This window comes from Homo sapiens, chromosome 21 (assembly GCF_000001405.40).
Source record: "Homo sapiens chromosome 21, GRCh38.p14 Primary Assembly".
Taxonomy (NCBI): Eukaryota; Metazoa; Chordata; class Mammalia; order Primates; family Hominidae; genus Homo; species Homo sapiens.
Window position 1 is genome coordinate 46,663,750 of NC_000021.9, and position 22,649 is coordinate 46,686,398.

General features: G+C 42.7%; 1 protein-coding gene and 1 long non-coding RNA gene across 11 annotated transcripts in view, besides 3 other annotated features; both read left to right on the forward strand.

Annotated features, from left to right (window-relative positions):
• The window catches only part of PRMT2 (protein arginine methyltransferase 2), a 29,451-nt gene extending 28,076 nt beyond the window's left edge, over positions 1–1,375 (forward strand). For all 10 annotated transcript variants that reach the window (NM_206962.4, XM_006723998.5, XM_006724000.4 and 7 more), the window contains one exon: positions 546–1,375. In NM_206962.4, coding sequence (NP_996845.1) covers positions 546–578 — 33 coding nt within the window. In that variant the 3' untranslated portion in view covers positions 579–1,375. The remainder of the gene's footprint in view (positions 1–545) is intronic.
• A 2,264-nt stretch (positions 1,376–3,639) lies between these two features.
• On the forward strand, positions 3,640–9,800 carry LOC124905058 (uncharacterized). The gene is made up of 2 exons (XR_007067938.1): positions 3,640–3,812; positions 3,933–9,800. It is a non-coding gene; the product is annotated as an uncharacterized LOC124905058 (long non-coding RNA).
• Positions 3,886–4,623: an enhancer, noted in NCBI's record as "H3K27ac-H3K4me1 hESC enhancer chr21:48087547-48088284 (GRCh37/hg19 assembly coordinates)". NCBI's record gives its function as "activates a minimal SCP1, AML or CMV promoter by ChIP-STARR-seq in primed H9 embryonic stem cells {active_cell/tissue: H9 hESC(primed)}" and the evidence as "EXISTENCE:reporter gene assay evidence [ECO:0000049][PMID:30033119]".
• Positions 4,337–4,456: an enhancer, noted in NCBI's record as "active region_18608". NCBI's record gives its function as "activates an Ori minimal core promoter by ATAC-STARR-seq in GM12878 lymphoblastoid cells {active_cell/tissue: GM12878}" and the evidence as "EXISTENCE:reporter gene assay evidence [ECO:0000049][PMID:35858748]".
• Positions 12,235–12,435: a silencer, noted in NCBI's record as "peak4433 fragment used in MPRA reporter construct". NCBI's record gives its function as "represses an SCP1 promoter by STARR-seq MPRAs in K562 erythroleukemia cells {active_cell/tissue: K562}" and the evidence as "EXISTENCE:reporter gene assay evidence [ECO:0000049][PMID:32103011]".

Below are 22,649 nucleotides of genomic sequence, written 5' to 3' on the forward strand. Positions count from 1 at the left end.
GCTCTGGAAGGGAAGTCAGGGAAGTCATTCCCTCAGGTGACACGGTAAGTGAGGGAGAGCAGAGACCCACATCAGCCTGAGGCCCCTTGTGCCATGTCCAGAGGGTCCCCCAGATGGACAGAAGCCTGAGCTGTGCCTTGGCGCTCCCTTTACACAGGCCTCTGTGGCTTCCCAGGCAGCAGTTAGTCTAGGCGTGTCGTCTGTGATGCGTGTTCTGACTGGCAGCCTTCGGATCCGTGTGTGAATTCATGTGTAGCTCGCCCAGCTCACTTGGGCTTCCTGTCTCAGAGGCTGCTGAAAATGGAATGTTCTTCTTTGGGCTCAGGATTAATGTGGCAAAGAAAATAAAAATAAATGGTTTTCCTTCATTTTTTATATTTGTTTTGTGCTTTGCTTTGTGATAAGTTTTTGTTAAAAGTTTGTCATTTAAAAAAATTCTGCACCTGAATACTGTTCTCTTGTCCAATATTAAACCATTAGGAAATGTAGTATGTTAATCAAATGATTTATCATCTGATTGACCTGTTGTCATTTATCTTTTTCAGGTTGGAGAAAAAGTCTTCCCCATCTGGAGATGACAGTTGATGCTTTATTTGGAAAGCAGTGTGCATATCTTGAGGGGTGATGAACACAAGCAAACCAAGTTGCACCTGGCTTCTGCACACTCCTGCGAAAGTCGGTGAACATTCACTCCACATTGACCCCTCCCTAGCCTGGCAGGTGACGTCAGGGTCCTTCACAGACAAACACGCTTGGGCTCGGCAGGAGCTGCCGTGGCCACCCCCGCTGCCCAGTGTCTGCCCTCTAGAAGTAGGCTGTGTTTCCAGGTGTTCACCCGTGGTGCCCACAGTGCCGACCCGTGGCTGGGTCGGAGCTCCATGTTCCTAAGCTAGGTCTAGGTCTACACTCCTAGGACGCACGCATATCAGCCCGTGTACCCTGTGACAGTGACTGTCCCCACCTCCTATGTTAGTGGTGCCCTTACTGCCGTCGCTCATCCACTCGTGTGGGACGTAGGATTGCACAGGGCTGTGCCAGTGGCGTGTAGGGAACACTGCCCTGGCTCAGCGTGCGAGCTAAGGTGGTGATGTATGCGATGGGACTCTGCATGGGATAGTACAGTTGTGTAGACGTCTTCCAAATAAATTATGTGTTGGTCCATCGCACATGCTCAATAAATATTTTTAAATGAGTGAATGTCATTGTGTATCCTGTTTTATGCATATATGTTATTTTTTGTAATTACAGGATCATACTATATGCATTGCTTTATAAGTTTTTCTCAATATTGTGAAAAAACTTCCACATCAGTAGATACATGTCCATAATTTTTTTTTGTATTGTTTTGATTTTTATTAAATTTTATTGAAATATAGGCTGGGTGCAGTGGCTTACCTCTGTAATCCCAACACTTTGAGAGGCTGAGGTGGGATGATTCCTTGAGCTCAGGAGTTCAAGACCACCCTGGGCAACACAGCGAGATACTATCTCTACAAAAAAAATAGAAAAATTAGCTGGGCATGGTGGCGTGTGCCTGTAGTCCCAGCTACTCGGGAGGCTGAGGCGGGGGGATCACTTGAGCCCAGGAGGTTGAGGCTGCAGTGATCTAGGATTGCACTGCTGCACTCCAGCGTGGGTGACAGAGCAAGACCCTGTCTCAAAAACCCCAAAAAACAAAACTGAAATATCAAATATATATTGAAAACAGTGCTAGTCATGGGTACATAGATGATGGCATTTTATAAAGTGGACGCACATGTAACCAGCATCCAGGCCAGGACACACTACAGATTCCCCGATTCCCCTTCCACTCAGTGCCCACCCTCTCAAGGGTGATGTCCTGACTTGTAACTGTCGATTACTCTTGCCTGAATGGAGTTGTACACGTGTTCTTTTGTGTCTGCCTTCTTTAATTAAACATTGTTTGTGAGACTCATCTATGAATTTTAGACAGTGTGGTTGTGGTTGACTTTTTCATTGTGGCATAGTATTCAACTGCATGAATAGACCACAGTTTATGATCTTGTTTCACATGGTGTCCTTTTGGGTTGTTGCCATGGTTTAGCTATGATGATTACTGAGACTGTGGACATTTCTGTGTATGTGTTTTGGTGCATGTATGTACACATTTCTGTTGGGTGTACACTGTATACCAGGTTTTCAAGTCAAGGAATCTAATATCCCTGCCAGCTGTGCATGAGAGTTGGCATCCTCGTCAACACCCAGTATTGTGTTTTGCATTTTACCTGCTCTGGTGGGCGTGTGGATTTGGTATACATTTCATTGATGACTAATCCAGTTTTGTAGATTTGCCGCTCATTTTGGATATCCTGTTTTTGAGGTGCTTGTTTAAGTCTTTGGCCCATTTTACTATTAGGGTTTTTTTTTTTCTATTTCTAATTGAGATTCCAGGTGTTCCTGATATAATTTGGCTGAGTCCTGTAACACATATATTTTTGTGAATAAATCTTTTCCCTTTCTGTGGCTTTTTTTTTTTTTTTTTTTTTTTTTTTTTTTTAATCAAGCATCAAGCTGTGAAGAAGCTGTGTCAGTATTTTCTTTTTTTTTTTTTTCTTCGAGACGGCGTCTTACTCTGTTGCCCAGGCTGGACTGCAGTGGCGTGATCTCAGCTCATTGCAACCTCTGCCTCCCGGGTTCAAGCGATTCTCCTACCTCAGCCTTCCAAGTAGCTGGGATTACAGGCATGCACCACCACACCTGGCTAATTTTTGTATTTTTGTAGAGACGGGGTTTCACCATGTTGGCCAGGCTGGTCTCAAACTCCTGACCTCAGGTGATCTGCCCACCTTGGCCTCCCAAAGTACTGGGATTACAGGCGTGAGCCACAGTGCCCAGCCTGTGTCAGGATTTTCTGTCATGGACATGGAGGCTGGTGGTCTGGGTGCAGTTTCATACATGGTTATTAGAAAAGGCATCTCATCCAAATGTGGTGGCTCGTGCTTGTAATCCCAGTGCTTCAGGAGGCCAAGGGAGGAGGATTACTTGAGCCTAAGAGTTTGAGACCAGCCTGGGCAACACAACAAGACCTTGCCTCTACAAAAAACTTAAAAACTAGCTGGGTATGATGGTGCACACCTGTAGTCCCAGCTACTTGGGAGGCGGAGGCGGGCAGATCGCCTGAGGTCAGGAGTTCGAGACCAGCCTGGCCAACATGATGAAACCCCGTCTCTACTAAAAATACAAAAATTAGCCGAGTGTGGTGGTGCATGCCTGTAATCCCAGCTACTCAGGAGGCTGAGGCAGGAGAATCACTTGAACCCGGGAGGCGGAGGTTGCCATGAGCCGAGATCACGTCACTGCACTCCAGCCTGGGTGACAGAGCACAAAAGACAGGCATGACTTTGTACTTAACTGCTCAGCTTTGTAATCACTGGGGGCCCAGATGCTCACTTGGATTCTAACTTTGTTGGCATCTGGGCCTAAAAGCCGTGATGCAGGTGAGCAATGATGCAGAGGGCTCTGTGCGCCTGGCGGGCTCTGTTTGCCTGCTGGGCTCTGTGCGCCTGCTGGGCTCTGTGCGCCCGGGAAGGTGCGGCCACCCTCACGCGGAAGGCGGCCAGCGGATCCCGGTGCGCGCAGCTCCCAGCGCTGGGGTTCCAGCGCCCCGCCTCTTCCTATAGCAACCAGCGGGACCTGCCGTCCCCCGGGGCACCCCGAGGGGTCTGCGCCCGCTTCTTTCCGAAACGGGAAGGCGCTGGGGGCTCGGCAGCCAGAGGGACGGGTTCAGGGAGCGTCCGGTGAGCCTAAGACGCGCCTTTGCCGGGGTTGCCGGGTGTCTGCCTCTCACTTAGGTATTAGGAACCGTGGCACAAATCTGTAGGTTTTCCTCTGGGGGTGGGCGGAGGCTCCAAACCGGACGGTTTTCTCCTGGAGGACTGTGTTCAGACAGATACTGGTTTCCTTATCCGCAGGTGTGCGCGGCGCTCGCAAGTGGTCAGCATAACGCCGGGCGAATTCGGAAAGCCCGTGCGTCCGTGGACGACCCACTTGGAAGGAGTTGGGAGAAGTCCTTGTTCCCACGCGCGGACGCTTCCCTCCGTGTGTCCTTCGAGCCACAAAAAGCCCAGACCCTAACCCGCTCCTTTCTCCCGCCGCGTCCATGCAGAACTCCGCCGTTCCTGGGAGGGGAAGCCCGCGAGGCGTCGGGAGAGGCACGTCCTCCGTGAGCAAAGAGCTCCTCCGAGCGCGCGGCGGGGACGCTGGGCCGACAGGGGACCGCGGGGGCAGGGCGGAGAGGACCCGCCCTCGAGTCGGCCCAGCCCTAACACTCAGGACCGCCTCCAGCCGGAGGTCTGCGCCCTTCTGAGGACCCTGCCTGGGGGAGCTTATTGCGGTTCTTTTGCAAATACCCGCTGCGCTTGGACGGAGGAAGCGCCCACGCGTCGACCCCGGAAACGAAGGCCTCCCTGATGGGAACGCATGCGTCCAGGAGCCTTTATTTACTCTTAATTCTGCCCGATGCTTGTACGTGTGTGAAATGCTTCAGATGCTTTTGGGAGCGAGGTGTTACATAAATCATGGAAATGCCTCCTGGTCTCACCACACCCAGGGTGACAGCTGAGATGCGGCTTCTCCAGGGTGGAGCCTCCTCGTTTTCCAGAGCTGCTTGTTGAAGTCTTCCCAGGGCCCCTGACTTGCACTGGAAACTGCTCACCTTGGCATCGGGATGTGGAGCAAGAAATGCTTTTGTTTTCATTCATCCTAGTGTTCATAAAATGGAAAACAAATAAGGACATACAAAAACATTAATAAAATAAATTAATGGAACTAGATTTTTCAGAAAGCACAACAAACACAAAATCCAAGTATTGCCATGTCAGCAACACATTCCTACTTTAAGTTTTATGAAGTTAATTGGAGTAGTGGAGAACAAAAGTGGATGTGGGGCAGATCTGCGTCCTGCATGTGTCTTGCAGCCAGACTGTTCCAGCTGTTGCAGACCTCAAAATAGAGAGGACCCAGGTTTTCTGATTTTGCCTTCTTTTTTTTTTTTTTAAATTTATTATTGTTATACTTTAAGTTTTAGGGTACATGTGCATGATGTGCAGGTTAGTTTCATATGTATACATGTGCCATGCTGGTGTGCTGCACCCACTAACTCGTCATCTAGCATTAGGTATATCTCCCAGTGCTATCCCTCCCCCCTCCCCCCACCCCACAACAGTCCCCAGAGTGTGATGTTCCCCTTCCTGTGCCCATGTGTTCTCATCGTTCAATTCCCACCTATGAGTGAGAATATGCGGTGTTTGGTTTTTTGTTCTTGCGATAGTTTACTGAGAATGATGATTTCCAATTTCATCCATGTCCCTACAAAGGACATGAACTCATCCTTTTTTATGGCTGCATAGTATTCCATGGTGTATATGTGCCACATTTTCTTAATCCAGTCTATCATTATTGGACATTTGGGTTGGTTCCAAGTCTTTGCTATTGTGAATAGTGCCGCAATAAACATACGTGTGCATGTGTCTTTATAGCAGCATGATTTACAGTCCTTTGTGTATATACCCAGTAATGGGATGGCTGGGTCAAATGGTATTTCTAGTTCTAGATCCCTGAGGAATCGCCACACTGACTTCCACAATGGTTGAACTAGTTTACAGTCCCACCAACAGTGAGAGGACCCAGGTTTTCTAAGACCAAGTCGCTACACTCTTAACTGCAGTGGGTGGAGTTTGGGGATGGACTTCTCCTCAGCTCCCTGCTGCCGCTCTCCAGCGTCCCCGGGTGCAGACCCTCTGCCGCCACAGCTGGAGACTCCCAAAGGAGGCAAGCAAGCCTCAGCGATCCCAGGAGGCCCCATCGGCCCTTCCCAGGCTTTCCTCTCTTTAAGCTCCTCCTCCTTCTTCCCTTTCTTCAGAATCGAATCTAGGCAAGGATTTCACAGTCTGAGCTTTGACCAAGGACAGTAACTGGGTCCAGGGATGGAAAACTTTGCTTCTAGGTCCCGTTTTGCTACAGCCTTGCAAGAGGACTGTGATCAGGCCTCAGTTTCCGTCTCTCTAAACTGAGGAGTGCTCTGCGGGGATCTCTGCCTCCTTTACAATATTTCCTCCAGTGATGTCTTCATTATTAGAGCTGCTGACTTCAAATGACATTTCATAATGTTGTCCCTCTCTGTTGTGTCATCCAGAGTCGTTTTTCTTCTTATATCTTGAAAATAGATAACTAAGATAATATGAATATCAAACTGAGCCCCTTTCTTCGGATTTTGTAACAAGGAAAATTCCTAGTAATGATGAAGTAACTAAATGAATCTGGATGTGAGCTTTATTTTATGATTGGATTAGGGTATATCCATGAGCCTTGGACTTATCTAAAACTTTAATTAATCTAAAATTATGCAGTGTTCATTACTTAGCAAAGGTATCATGGCTTGGTGTCTAGCATTCTTGGTAGAAAGCCATCGCTGTGTTAGGGAGTGTTGGCTGTTTATTGAGGCCATCGGTGAGGCAATGCAAGACAGACAAATGTGGCTTCAGTACTACTAATATGACAGCAGACAGCCACCAGCTGGAAAGGTGTATTGAGATTGTAAAGATGTGCTCCTTCCCGAGGCCAGGGACCAGGGCCACTTACAGTCCCACAATCATCTTTTTGAACTGTAAATCTGAATTCCTTTCCCCATGACAAAGTTGGGCAGGGAACCATCAAACTGGGATTCTGGAAATCAGGATGGGGGAGCAGAGAATCCTGCACCCTCACAAACCCCTTTTGCTGTGTTTGCTCCTGGTGCAAGTTCTCACTTCTTCATGGCTTGGGGGCTGAGCAGAGTTCCTGGGGGTGTTTGTGCTACCTCAGCTCTCTGTTCCCACTGCTTGGAGCCGGAGAGGAGGCAGGGATAGAAGTCATGGATTAAAGGTCTGGAGACAGGGCAGGAAGAACGGCAAGATTCAGAGGAAAATGTTTGTTTACAGCCAGAATCAATTGATAGGCATCCACACAGCGTTGGGGAGAATGATGCAGCACAGTGCCCTGGCCTGGCACGCAGGAGCCTATGACCGTTCCGTCCCCTGAGCCAGCTCAGGCTCCTCACCCCCACCCTCAGAATGTGGGCTTTCATGGCTGCTCCATCCTGGGCCACAGCCCTTCACCAGGCTCCTCTCTGGCAGGGCCACAGAGAATAAAAGGGAGCAGAAACCACATCCTGCACACAGATAGAACCTGCATCAGCCAAAGTGTCCATCTGACCAAGGGTCTCCCTTCCGCACTGCCCAGGGGGCTACAACATGTTGTTTGGACCACGGTTACTATACCTGACTCTCTTTAATTTTTTGGCTCAAATTGTTTTCTCTCCTTGATTAGATTAGGTACCTTGGTAATAGTTACGTTTGTCTGGAACCTAGAGGTTGCAAGATCATGAAACTGCAGTTATACCTTCCCAGAGGGGTTGATGGCATCCTCAGATCCTCGACTTGTGGAATGACCTGTGTGGATCTGACTCTAGGCCATCTCCCATTGGAAGAGGAGGAAGGCTTTTATGGTTGAAAGAAGGACCATTGCATTATAATAGGTGCAGTCATTTTGGAATTCTCGGTATGGGGAGAGGCATGTGCTTGTGTATGTGCACACATGCATACTTGCTCAGGAACCAAGGGGGTGGCCTACAGTGACATATGTCATGATTTTTGTTTATTCTGCTGCTGTATTCATTTTCAATTGCTGTTATAACAAATTACTACACACTTTGTGCCTTAAAAGAACACAAATTTATATTTTTACAATTCTGCAGACCAGAGGTCCAGCAGGGTCTAAAATCAAGGTGCCAGCAGTGCTGTGTTTGTTCCTGGAGGTTCTAGGGGAGAATCACTTCCCGCACATTTGGGCTGTGGGCAGAATTCAATTCCTTGTGGTTGTAGGACGGAGGTTGCCATTTTCCTGCTGGATGAGGGCCATTCCCAGCTTCTAGAAGCCATCTGCATGCCTTGGTTTGAGGACCCTTCGACTATCTTCAAAACCAGCAAGGGTAGGTCAGACCCTTCTCACAGGCTCTTCTTCCTTCCTTTTTATGGACTCATCTCATTAGGTTTGCAGCCACTTGAATAATCCCAGATCATTTCTCTATTTTAAGGTCAGCTGATCAGGTCAACTGAATTCTACCTATAACCTTAATTATTTTTTGCCATGTACGGTAACGTATGCATAGATTCTGGGGATTAGTATGGAGACATACTAATTACACTGTAGCTAGATATTTGTGTCGGAGGGGGGGCATTATTCTGTACCTAGAAGAGAGGGGATTTGTGGGGCTGCAGGGTGTGTACATGTTCAGTGTTAACTGATTCTGCTAAGTGGTTTTCCAAAGAGGCATGCCCACTAAACACTATTCTCTTTCATTGGTCTGTTTATTTATTCTCATGTCCATATCATACTGTTTGAATTACTGTCTTGATATCTAGTATTCTAAATATTCTTACTTCGTTATTCTTTGAAATTGTGTTTGCTATTTTAGCCTTTTGCATTTCCATATAAACTTTAGAATCAACTGGCTAATTTCCATAAAAATAACTGCTGGGATGTTGAATGGGATTGCTTAGATTCTATAGATTATGTGGAGGAATAATTTATATTTTACAATATAAAGATTTTCAGCCCATGAACATGGAATATCTCTTTATTTATTTGAAGATACTCTTCTTTAATTTATGTCAATGTTTTATAGTTTTCTTTCACACATTTCACTAGTTCCTAACTGTTTGATATTTTTAATGCAATTGTAAATGATGTCATTTAAAAATTAATTTTCAGGCAAGGTACAGTGGCTCACTCCTGTAATCCCAGCACTATGGGAGGTTGAGGCAGGAGGATCACTTGAGGCCAGGAGTTCAAGACCAGCCTGGGCAACACAGGGAGACCCCATCTCAAAAAAAAAAAATTTAGCCAAGCGTGGTAGTACCTGACTGTAATCCTAATTACTGGGGAGGCAGAGATGGGAGGAGGCTGAGGTGGGAGGAGGCTGAGGTGGGAGGGCTCTGCTTGAGCCCAAGAGTTCAAGGCTGCGGTGAGTTTGTGCCACTGTACTCCAGCCTGGGTGACAGAGTAAGATCCTGTCTGAAAAAATAATTTTCTAATTGTTGCTATTGTTTCAAAATACATCTGATTCGTGTATACTATCTTGTATCTAATTACTTTGCTTGTTAATTATAAATTTCTTTGGATTTTTCATGTACACATCCTATCTATCCAAAGGAACAGAAATCAAAATATAAAAGATATATGTAAACTTGGAATGTTTATTGCAGCACTATTCACAATAGCAAATATATAGAATCAACCCGTTTTCATCAACAAATGAATGAATAAAGAAAATGTCATATATATATGTAATGGAATTCTATTCAGTCATAAAAAGAAAGAAAACATGTCATTTGTGGCAACATGGATGGAATTGGAGAGAATTATCTTAAGTGAAATAATCCAAACACAAAGAAATAAATATTGCGTGTTCTCACTTGTATGTGGGAACTAAAATATTTGATCACATGGAGGTCAAGAGGGGAAAAATAAATAACAGAGACTGGGAAGGGTGAGTGTGGGAGAAAAGAGAGGAAGAGGAGGACTGGGTTAAAGGGTACAAACATATGGTAAGACAGAAGGAATTAATTCCATATTTGATGGTGGAGTAGGGGGACTGTACTTAACAAAAATCGATTTTACTTGGGTGATGGCTGTCCTCAATACGTTGACTTGACCGCTATGCGTTATATACATGTACCAAAATTTCTTATGTACCCCATAAGTTTATAGAAATAAAAAACAGCAAAAAATTGTATAAATAATGTTCAGTTATCTATTTTTATTTAATTTAGAAGCAATCATCTAGGTAAAAGACCAGTAGGAACAATCCTAATATAGCTAGTTATAGCACACCTACTATGATACAGAAACCTGGCTAAGGGTCGGTCAGGCAAAATCTCACCTCATCCTACCAATGACCCTATAAGGTCGGTATTATTATTATCCCTATATTTTAAATATGTAAAAGTAGTAGTAGCCTGACCAATGTAATGCCAAATGGCAGAATTGGGACTTAGGCCTAATGTACCTGACTCAAGAAGTAGCAATTTAATCTGTATCTCCACGTCTGTATATGGACCAAGGAGAAGTAAATTTTGTGTTTGTGAGTACCTTTAATTCTTTCTGTCCATCCGAAATATTCTAACCCCAAACCCCATGCCATGAGTGGCTTTTTAGGGAAAGAATTAAGACCATGTTGTAAAATCTTGTAAGTTGCAGTTTGCAGAATTAGTATTGGACCAACAATGTCCTCCCACTCAAGTGGCATAACGGTAGAAAACACTGTTACTAGTTAGAAATAGAATCTTAGGGGAGAAACTGATAGTCTAAACTACAGAACCCAGATTAAAATAGAAAAAATCTGTACTCTTCCTTAAAATAATTTGACTAAATTTTAAAAAAATTATTTCTGCAAATAAACAGTATTATAAAGTGGTATATTTAAACAAATAAATATCTACCTACAATGTAATTCTTTTTAATCTAATCTTGAACCAGTGGTTCTGGCTCCATCTTATCTTGTCATAATCTTTGTAACTCATCTTGAATGCTTTTTTGGAGTTGCACCTGTTCCTTGGTTTATATATGCTCCAGGGATTTCTTGTCAGCTGGCCGTAAGACATGATTTGGCAATTTGTCATTCCATTTACTGGATTCATTTAGCTGTGTAAAATTGACACTTATGGATACTTTAGTTTCAGGAATCCTTCTTATAACAGTGGGCTTTCACAATCTCCTTCCTATGCCATGCAGAAATAATCCTCCACAAGCCAAGCACAAAAGAAAAATCAGGTTGGTGGAGAACAAGTAAAGAAAAGGAGGAGAAGGTAAGTGAGAGGGAGAAGGTAAGTGAGAGGGAGGAGGAGGAAAGGGAGGGCCTGAGAAAAGCAAAGGTGAGAAAAGTCTCTGCTGCCGTAGAGCCTGGAGCAGCACGACCGGCTTGGCCTTCTCCATCCCCAGCCAGCAATGCAGAGGACACCGCAGGGACTCCCCAAGTGTCCGCACCCCTGGGCCTGCCAGGGCCTCCACCTGCTGGGCTGCCCTCCCTGTGCGCAAGGTGTGAGGAGATTCTTGGAGAGAGTTCCCCTGGGTTGCAGAGTCCTAATGGAATCTCACAGGAAAATTGCGTGGCCCCCAATGTCCTAGGTGTAGCGTTCGTTTCAGTTTTTTCATTAGAAATGTGTCCCTGAAGGCTCATGTCTGTGCCTTGAGAAAAGAGAAGGCCATCGTCACAATAACCCTCCGTTCTGACCAGGATGGAGTTGGGGTTGCTATTGCTCAAAAGCTTCCAGAACCTTCTGCTCCCACTCAGAATAAACCCAGAACCCTTGCCTGACCCAGAAGCCCCTTGGGGATCTGCCTCACAGCCCACCTCACCGATGGCTCTTCTCCCACCCAGGCCCTTGCTAATGGCCCTCTCACAGCACTGCCATCTACTCTTCAGACCTGCCCATCCCTCCTGCCTCAGAGCCTCCAACCTTCTGTTCCCTCTGCCAGAAATCACCACATACAACTTTGTCTTGTCTCTTTTTTTTTTTTTTTTTTTTTTGAGACAGAGTCTTGCTCTGTCACCCAGGCTGCCAGGCTGTAGTGCAGTGGTGTGATCTCAGCTCACTGCAGCCTCCACCCCCTGGGTTCAAGAGATCCTCCTGCCTCAGTCTCCTGAGTAGCTGGGACTACAGGCACCCAACCACCATGCCTGGCTAGTTTTTTTTTTTTTTTTAAGTAGAGACAGGGTGTCACTATATTGGCCAGGCTGGTCTCGAACTCTTGACCTCAAGTGATCTGCCCGCTTCAGCCTTGTCTCTTTCTGCAGGTCTCTGTTCAAATGGAGTCTCATCTCAGTGGCCTTTTCTAACTACTCTACCTAAAACAGCAGCTTAGGCCATCATTATCTGTCCCTTACTCTACTTGATTCCTGCCCATTGTACTCTACGCTGTCAGTGTTGTATATTTTCTTTCTTCCCTCCATGGAAGTGAGCCTCGTGCTTGTAGGGGCTTTATCTTGATTTGTTCAGCATGGTGTCCCTGTGCCTGTAGCAGTTGGTAATACAGAAAGGAAGCACATCAAGCATTACATGAATAACTATAGAAATTACTGGACTAACATGTGTGTTTGCTTTTTTGTTTGTGTTTTTCACTCAGAATGATTCCTTCCTAGGGGCTTCTGAGTCTCCTCCCTACCCCATTGTCTAGCCCTTTAAATACATTTGACAATAAAGTTCTATCTATTCCCCAGACATATTTGGACATGTGTGAATTCCAGCAAGAGAAGTAGTTTGTTTTTACCCCTGAAGGCTTCCAGCTGTGTGCAAGCAGACTTCCACAGATGCCACATCATCCTCTTAGCAGATGTGTTCTGATATTTCTAAATCCACCTAATTGTAAGCTGAAAATTCTCAATTGTGTTAAAAATTCTAAAATTTGTAACTATTTTTATTTCCAATGTAGTTAACATTTCACTCTACTTTTAAGCAGTATTCTTTTGCACTAGATTTCTAATTGAAAGTTGTTAAGAATTAGTTGACATCCTAAACTTTTGTTTTTTTTTGGTTTTTTGTTTTTTTACCATAATTTTTATTTGTAAAAAATGTTCTGTTCTGCTTCTGTTTTTTTTTTTTTCTTTTTTTTTTTTAAATCATACTTTAAGTTCTGGGATACATGTGCAGAACGTGCAGGTTTGTTACATAGGTATACATGTGCCATCGTGGTTTGCTGCACCCATCAACCCATCATCTACATTAAGTATTTCTCCTAATGCTATCCCTCCCCTAGCCCCCAATCCCCCAACAGGCCCTGGTGTGTGATGTTCCCCTCCCTGTGTCCATGTGTTCTCACTGTTCAACTCCCACTTATGAGAGAGAACATGCGGTGTTTGGTTTTCTGTTCTTGTGTTAGGTTGCTGAGAATATGGTTTCCAGCTTCACCTATGTCCCTGCAAAGGACATGAACTCATCCTTTTTATGGCTGCATAGTATTCCATTGTGTATATACACCACATTTTCTTTATCCAGTATATCACTGATGGGCATTTGTGTTGGTTCCAAGTCTTTGCTATTGTGAACAGTACTGCAATAAACATACGTGTGCATGTGTCTTTGTAGTAGAATGATTTATAATCCTTTGGGTATATACCCAGTAATGGGATTGCTGCGTCAAATGGTATTTCTGGTTCTAGATCCTAGAGGAATCGCCACACTGTCTTCCACAACGGTTGAACTAATTTACACTCCCACCAACAGTGTAAAAGCGTTCTTGCTTCTCCACATCCTCTCCAGCATCTGTTTTTTCTTGACTTTTTAATGATCGCCATTCTAACTGGCGTGAGGTGGTATGTCATTGTGGTTTTGATTTGCATTTCTCTAATGACCAGTGATGATGAGAGCTTTTTTTCATATGTTCGTTGGCTGCATAAATGTCTTCTTTTGAGAAGTGTCTGTTCATATCCTTCACCCACTTTTTGATGAGGTTGTTTGGTTTTTCCTTCTAAATTTGTTTAAGTTCCTTGTAGATTCTGGATATTAGCCCTTTGTCAGATGGATAGATTGCAAAAATTTTCTCCCATTCTGTAGGTTGCCTGTTCACTCTGATGAGAGTTTCTTTTGCTATGCAGAAGCTCTTTAATTAGATTCCATTTGTCAATTCTGGCTTTTGTTGCCATTGTTTTTGGTGTTTTAGTCATGAAGGCTTTTCACATGCCTATGTCCTGAATGGTATTGCCTAGGTTTTCTTCTAGGGTTTTTATGGTTTTAGGTCTTACGTTTAAGTCTTTAATCCATCTTGAGTTAATTTTTGTATAAGGTGTAAGGAAGGGGTCCAGTTTCAATTTTCTGTGTATGGCTAGCCAGTTTTCCCAACACCATTTATTAAATAGGGAATCCTTTCCCCCATTGCTTGTTTTCGTCAGGGTTGTCAGACATCCTAAACTTTTAAATTTAAGAATTTACATTTTTTAAAGAAACTGATAGTCATTTAAAAATCCATAACTCAAAAAATAATAATTCCTCCTATGTTTTCAACCAAGAGAAGTGAAAATCTGTTTACACAAAGGCCTGAATATAAGTATTCATAACAACTTTCTTCTTAATAGCCAAATATTTTAAAAATAGTTTATCACTGAAGAATAGTTAAACAAGCTGTAATATATTCCCACAATGGTTACTACCCAACATAAGAAGAATGACATATATACTGGAAACAACATGGACATATCTCAAAGGCATTAAAATATATGAAAGAAACCAGGTATAAGATAATTTACTATATGATTCCATTTATATTAAATTCTTTTTTTTTTTTTGAGACAGCATCTCACTCTATAACCAAGGCTGGAGTGCAGTGATGTGATCACAGATCACTGCAGCCTTGACCTCCCAGGCTCAGGTGGTTCTTCATCCTGAGTAGCTGGGACCACAGGTGTGCCATCACACCTGGCTAATTTTGTGTGTGAGTGTGTGTATGTTTTTTGAGATGGGGTTTTGCCATATGTGTGTTGCCCAGGCTGGTCTCAAACTCCTGGGCTTAAGTGATCCTCCCTTCTCAGTCTAATGCTAGGATTTACAGACATGAGTCGCTGCTTGTGGCCTGTAACAAATTCTAAGAAAGACAAAACTAGAGTGAAAAAAAAGCAACTGCCAGGAGCTGTGGTGTGGGGAGGGCACTGAATACAGCAGCATACGAGGGAGTTTTGGGGGTAATGAAATGTATTTTAATGGTAGTGTTGTGTATATGACTATATATATTTGTCCAAATGCATTCATTTGTACACTTAAAATTGGTAAATTTATTATATGTAAATTAAACTCAATCAGACTATAAAAATAAACTTTTGATCCTGAAAAAATACCTACATACATACAAACTACCTCTGAAACAAATGACTTTTTCAGAATTTCTAATTTAAATATTCAGAAATATGAATGATGATGATGAATTTTAACAAGGCTTGCATAATTCAATTCTTTTTTGGATCACACCTGAGAGGCATATTAGCTGCTGGACTTATGTAGACTTCCTTACCTTCTTTGCATATAAAAAAACAGGAGGTTGAGACAGAAACAAGATATGTAATTAATGTACAATGAAAGTTTCTACTGCCCAGTAAATAAAGCTTTCTATTGCCCAATGAATTGTGCCTGGCAGCACAATTGATCATTCTTTTTACCCTCAAAGCATCCTTGAAATGATTGACTCAACCATGAGAGAAACACTCTAAATATTCTCAGATACAAACTAATAGGATCAGCTTCACAGAACACCTGCAGATGCAACTAACTAAAAATCCAGCTCAATTTGACTTTAATAAGAAGGCACTTTATTGACTCAGGTGGGTAGTTCAGAAGAAGGCCAGGCTTCAGGGTGAATTTGAGCAAAAAGAAGCTCAGGTATGCTACCCAGGACTCAGTCTCTTCCCAATTTTCTGCTCTGCCTTCAGTGAAGTCAGAATCATTCTGAGTGTGGCAAAATCTCTAGGAATAATTTATGAGGCTGCATTCTTCATCAAAGAGGGAAGATGAACAAGCACATTCTTGTTCCTAACAACCTAGCACAACTTGTATTTGACTCTAATTGGAACAACTCAGGCCCTTGCCCATCCCCAAGTCCATTAGGGGGACCAAGGGAGTGCTGTGTGGCACCTGGCATGAGCCTCAGTTATGCACCCACCTTGGAACCAGTAACTGTGACATAGGGTGAGACAGTGGTGGTTAGGTTAAGTCAACCAGCACCCACCCCATGTTTCAAACCATGTGACTAAATAATTCAGGGCTCTGTTAGGAAGAAGAAAGGTGGATGCTTCTTGAATAGCACCCAACACTCAACTACAATTTGATTTGACAGGAACCCAGAGGCCTTCTCCATAGAAATCTCTCACAGTTGTTTGGAAAGAGAGCACTCAGTACAAAAATACTATGGCAACAACCCTGTGGCCTCAAGGGTGCTACGGACTTGGTGTGGAGGGTGGGGAAGGACTCAGTGTCTCCTGCAGATGAAGCAGAAGAGATGGCACTGCCTTAGCAGAGTAGAAAATGTTTAACCCCAAGAGATGCCTACAGAGGCAGCTGAGCCACACCACAGACTCCTACAAGGGCTTGGGTTAGGGTTACCACGTGTCTAGATAAGCAGAGGAGATGGTGAGGCAGACACAGAAAGGTCGGTTCAAAGCTGATTGGGAAGAGTGTGATCCCAAGACCCCTCAGTCCACACTGGCAGTCAAATACTCCTCCCTGACGTCGGAAAAAGAAACAATTTATTTTCTTCAGACTTTGAAACAGAACTTTTGTAAGCTCCAGGACACTAGATAATGCAGCTTATGTAAAGAGAGTATTTAGTGAAAGCCAATTTACTGAGCAGGGAGATCCTCAGACTCTTTCTCCCTCTTGGCTCCCAGAATGCTAGGGTCAGGCTTGCAGTCTTAGGAGATTGGCGACCTCTTTTTGGAGAGGATCTGCAGATACCAACATTTTCAGGGTTTCCTCAGGTCCAGGAGTGCCACGCTCCTGTGGATTCTTCCTCTGTGGAAGCAAAGGAAGACTCCATCTGTGCATACGGAATGCATTAATTATATTTTCTTATTTTCTGTTTTCTTGATGTTCTAGCATCTGGGGTTTACTGGGAAAAGATTGCCTTTCCCAGGGCCAGCCAATTAAACTACCAGTCCAGAACCAATACTCCTAACCACCTACTTTATCTGGCTCTGATACTGTAGGAGACAATACCGCTCTTCCCTAATCACCCCAGGGCCGGTGCCTTATGGACTGAAATTCTGAAATCTTTTTATGCCTGGCCTTTCCATCCTTCAACTTCCCCTCTCCCATGCTGTGAATGATTGTATTGGACATTTTTGTTTTAATCTCAGTGACAGGGGAACACAGGTAGCTCTAATATAGCTGTGACCCAGATGCTTCTGTTTCTAGCATGTATTTATTTTGTAGCAAACATTTACATCCATCATTTTTCACTGTCTTTTGAAAATAATTAGGCAATATCTCATCTGAGGTAGGATGTTTCTAGGGGTTGTGTTCTGAGGGAGAAAAACTAATCTGTTCTCTTTCCACTGCATTCCAGGAACAGTAAGAGGACCTTGTGCATGAATAATTTGTTTCCACACTACAGAGTGATTAATAAGCAGATTAGTAAAAACAATTCTGCTTCACTTAGTAACAGCCTCCTCCAACTCATTTTTTCTCAACAAACTTATTTTTCCAGCAGAAGAATCACAGACTTCTTAGAGAACCCAGTGAGTTTTCACACCTTAAATCTGTGAAATCCTCATGTTTTCTTCTGCCGTATCCATAGTTCAAACAAAGATGAGGCAAAACTAGATGCATTCCTGAAGGAACCCAAGAAATTCCTCTCTTTCTATCTCTGGAATGAAATGCATTATCTAGACCATCAATTCTAACCTTCAAAAACCAAACCTGTTTGTGAGATCTCCTTCAAATACTACTGTAGACCCCAGTGTTTATTCATTAAATTTTTAAAATATTTGTTTTATTTGGAATCCATGTATTTGTAATTTTAGTGTTTGTATTAATATCAGGGAGAAATGTTTAAATCTGTCTATGCCATATGTGCCTCTGGCTTATTGCCCAATTAATTGTAGCCTCAGGCTAAACTTTGGTTTCTGTCTTTAATTTTTGTCAGAACAAATATAACTGATCTCAAAACATCTGCTTTTATTGTAGGGACTCGTGCTGCCATCTCCATTCCTATCTCTTTTCTTGCAATCTGGGTGGAAGTTCTTTAATATGAACATTTCAGCCACCTTCATTCTACCACGTCCGCTATCAGCACATTCAAACTGATCCAGCCAAGGCTGTCATCTTAGGCCAGGGATTTTTTAGGAATCTATTTTGCTGTGATGCGGCTGGCACCGCTTTGACTCACTTTATCACCCCAGGGTTCTTTTCATTTTAGAAGCCCAAGAAGGCAGAAAAAGAAGTAGGTGAGCAATTAAACCCTCTGAGTCAGGAGCGTCTCCCCTTGTGTTAGGCAATGTTGTAGAACATTGTGTTTAGCAAGCTCCTAGCAGATGAGCCACGTGGCTGCTGAGCACACACGCCTGCTTGCTGCTGTGAGCTCAGACACCATCATCATGTCCTTTCCATCTCTGGAGGGAATTGTAAGGGCCACTTAATAACCTCTAAATCAGAGAGATGAAGGTGCTTCCCCAAAACACTGATGACAGAATGAAAGGTGAGGAGTGTTAGCCACAGGTCAAAAGTGCAGGAAAGTCTCTCAGTGTGGGTTGTTGAAGAAATGCAGGTCTTTTTTCTTTTGGAAGTCTCCCTAGAATGGGGTCAAGGACTCTGCCCATTCTAGGATGAAAAATTGGGATATTAGACACCCTCAGATATTTATCCTAAGCTTCCATTTTGGGCTCTTAATTAGTTTGTTCATCCATCACAATCTCAAATGCTAAGCAGGGCATTTGAATCTCTCCACAGTGCAAATCAGCGCCGTCTTTTAAAGTTGAGTTTCTTCTTATTCTCACCTGATACACCTTATTTATCCCACACCCACCCCAATAACATATCGTGCTCATTGTTATCTTTGAGGCAACCCTTGAATTTTACTCAGCCTGGAGCGCTCTTCACATGTCTTGTCCAGAGCCAGTTCGGACTCATTCTTCAGCCGTGCATCAGTCAGTGGGGGCTAGCTTAAACTGTGGTGACAAACAACCTCCAAATTTCAGTGGCTCAAAAATCTTCTTCCTCATTTATTTACATCTCATGACTGGTCAGGTGAGAGGTAGCTCTGTGCTGTGTCATCCTAACACAGGAATCCAGAAGGAAGGAGGGACCGTCAATAAGATCCCCATTGCTATAGAAAAGAGAAAAAAGCATGCGGAATAGAACGCTGTTTCTTGGAGATTTCTCCTGAAAAAGTCACGTTATTTCTTCTCACCTCCATTGGCAAAAAAAAAAAAAAAAAAAAAAAAAAAAAAAAAAAAAAAAAAAAAAGTCATGTGGCCATGGGAAAATTTAAGTAGGTGGGATGGAACAGTCAGAATGCATTCATAAAAAATGAACTGAAAATATTTGGAGAACAGCACCAATGACTATCATGAATGCCAACATACATCCCTAACAACCCAGTGCTGTTACCCTCCAAACTTTTTATGTCTTGCAAAGTATTAGAACTTCATATCTGAAGCCATACCACTCAGAGGGAATGCAATACATATTGACATCTCCTTTAGGATGTCCATAGAGAATTCAAGAAAAGAAATAATTTAAAAGTGCTTTTGGGTACAGCTATTTAGCACTAGAGGGTAAGAGTAGAGATAGATTGTAAAGATAATAATAGGGTTAGGCATAGGATTAGGATCTGGGTCAGAGTCAGGGCCGGAAGTATGGTTAGAGGTGGGGTCATGGTCAGGGTCAAGATCAAAGTCAGGGTTAAAGTAAGGGTCAGAATTAAGGACCAGGGTAGGGATCAGGATTTAGGTTCAGGCTCAAAGTCTTGGGACAGGGTTAGGGTTAGGATTAGAACCAGAGCTTTGTTCTCAGGACCCACCCGAGGGTGGGTCACCATGGCTTTGGAGCACCTGGTAGTGTGGCGTGTCCACAGTGAAGACCAGAGTTTCATTGTCCTTAAGACTGACCTGGGAGACGTGGCTGCAGGCCATTGAGGAAGGTGAGGCAAAAGCTTCCTGTCTGCTCCCCGTGTGCTGAGGAGGGAGCTCTGCCATGGGCTTTACTTTCACACGTTATATTCTACAAGTCTTGTTTTACAAAAGCATCCCTTCCTTGAGGCTTCGGCTGCTCATCGCTGCTCATCATCATAGCGTGCCATAACATATAGTAAGATTTGGGTTTGTTTCTGGGAGAGATCTTGGCATAGAGAAAGGAGAAATGCTTAGAGCCACCATCAAGACAGTTGGGATGAAAGCTGGGGATAGGCAGAGGCTGGAGGAAACATGTGCACCCCTTGTAAACACTTATTCATGTTTTAGTTATTCACTTAAAGTGTTAAATTAGTAAAAATAGTATTGAAAAATTGAAAAGTAGGCATATTAAAACTTGTAACACTATTTAAGCTTAGATATATTATTTGTACCTCATCAACATTTTTTATTTTGTTGAGAAAGTGTAAGGTTAATTGGCAGCATATTTCTAATAGTAGATAGAATAATGTCTGTTTTATAAATGTTGACATCCTACATTACATGTGTGAACCCTGAAAATCTGAGACAGCTCTCAGATTTTTAAGAAAGTTTATTTTGCCAATCTTGAGGATGTGCACCCGTGATGCCTCCCCAGGAGGTCGTGACAACATGGGCCCAAGGTGATCGGGGCACAACTTGGTTTTATACACTTTAGGGAGACATGAGACATCAATCAATACGTGTAAGATGTACATTGGTTCAGTCCAGAAAGGTGAGAAGGCCAGACAGGGGGCTTCCAGGTCATAGGTAGGTAAGAGACAAATGGTTTCATTCTTTTGCATTGCTGATTACCCTCTCCAAATGAGGCAATCAGGTATGCATTTATCTCGGTGAGCAGATGGGTGACTTTGGATACAATGGGAGGCGGGTTTGCCCTAAGCAGTTCCCAGCTTGACTTTTCCCTTTAGCTTAGTGATTTTGATTCCCAAGATTTATTTTCCCTTCATAAGATTTTCCTATGAGCATTAATTATTCATTGTGTATTTTATCACACAAATAAGGCACAGATTTTTAAAAAATCATCAACTTCCTGGCTACCTATATAGACATAATTACATAGAAGCTCAACTAAATTTGCAAACATTCCAGAGTTTGGGTTTCCAATAATTCTTTGTGATTCTTTAAAAGGTAAAGTATTTTTTTCCCATAAAACATAGCAACATTTAAAATCACCCGTAGAATGTCCTGCCATTTTTGTTTCTGTAGTTTCCTCATTTTCTGCAAAGCCTCGCTGAGGAAATTGACTTTGAATATCCTTTTACACTCTTCTGTTTTAGAAAGCATTGTGGTAAAACATTGAATCATCATGGTCATAAGTTCTGTTCACATTCTTTCTTGCTTTGAATATTTTTTCCCAGTGGCCAATATTTGATTCTGTTGTATCATGGCTAAAAGGTAGGCATGGCAACAAAATAAAGACAGGAAGTCTTTGGAATAAGTGATCCCATCACAATGAATCAATTTGCCATTGGAACATATTTTTACAAAGTCACTCTTTCGAAAATATTTAGCTATGAATTGAAACAGAGTCTGTATAGTTAATATTTTTCCTGGTCTAAGGTGAACAGCATTTTAGAGAATGAACTCAGGACACAACCACAGCACAAGAAAAACGTGATAATTAAGTTTACACATATGTGTTACTACCGCAACAGAAAACATGTAAAGAACATTTGATTTATGTATCAGTCTGCACTGTTTAATTTTTTGTGTCATAAATACTCTTATTTAAAAAAACAGGACTAGTTAACAGTGTCAATTACTAGTAATTCATGGTATAAATAATTAAACAAGGAAGTGTTCAAAAAAAACAGTGTTTTAAATAAAGTTTTATTTTACATCATCTTTTTTACTTACACAGAAATTGTCAAAAAAAAGCAGAGATTTCCCATGTAGCCGCAACCTAGTTTCCTCTCTTATTAACATCTTCTATCAGTGTGTCTCACATGGCTTATTAATATCTTACATAATTTGTCACAGTTAATGAACCAATACTGATAGACTATTATTAATTGAAGTTCATATTTCATTTGGATTCCCTTAGTTCTATCTTACTCTGACCCAGGATCCCATCCAGGATCCCGCATGACATGTAGACATCACGTGGGCTCTTCCTGGCTGTGACAGTGTGTCAGGCTTTCCATCTCATGATGACCTTCATAGCACTGAGGAGGATTGGTCAGGAATGTTGTAGAATGTCCCCCATTGTCACTTCATGTTCTCAAGGTGAACTGTCACCTTTGATGTTCACTTGGATCATTTGGCAGAGCTAATGTTTGTCAGGTTTCTCCACTGTGAGGTTATTTCTCCTCCTTGTCCGTACTGCATGTGTTCTTTTGGAGCAAGTCACTATGCAGAGCCTTACTCCGTCAGGAGTTGGCTCCACCTTCTTGACGGCTGAGTGTCTACATCAATTATTTGGAATTCTTTTGCAAAGGAGATTTCTATGCAACTCCATTTGCTTATTCACCTAGGTATACAAATACAGACACCTAGATAATTACTTTAAGCTTTAGTTATTATTCAACACTACAGTATTATGTTGCACAATTCATTCCTGTGTTGGCCATCAGTAGCTGTTTTTATTGGCTCTTATTTTTCTTTGATATGTTTTAATTTTTTTAGTACTTACTTTCTGATACTTCCAGATTATCCTGGCTCCTATATTTACTGTCCCAGTTCTAGTATCAGACATTTCTTCAAAGAGCCTGATTACTTTCAGAATGGTAGGAAAACTTACATCTGGCTGCTGAATGAGCACATTGTATCTTCTCCCTCATTGGCAATGCTAGGAAGTATATGTGTGTGTCTAACCTACCTATACACACCTAATTATAAAGTTTTCTATGTAGAACTGTGTGTGTCTATATTAAACTAAACATAAGTTTACGTTGATGTCTCCACCTCTGATCTACTATCACATGAATCATTCTAGCCTTCT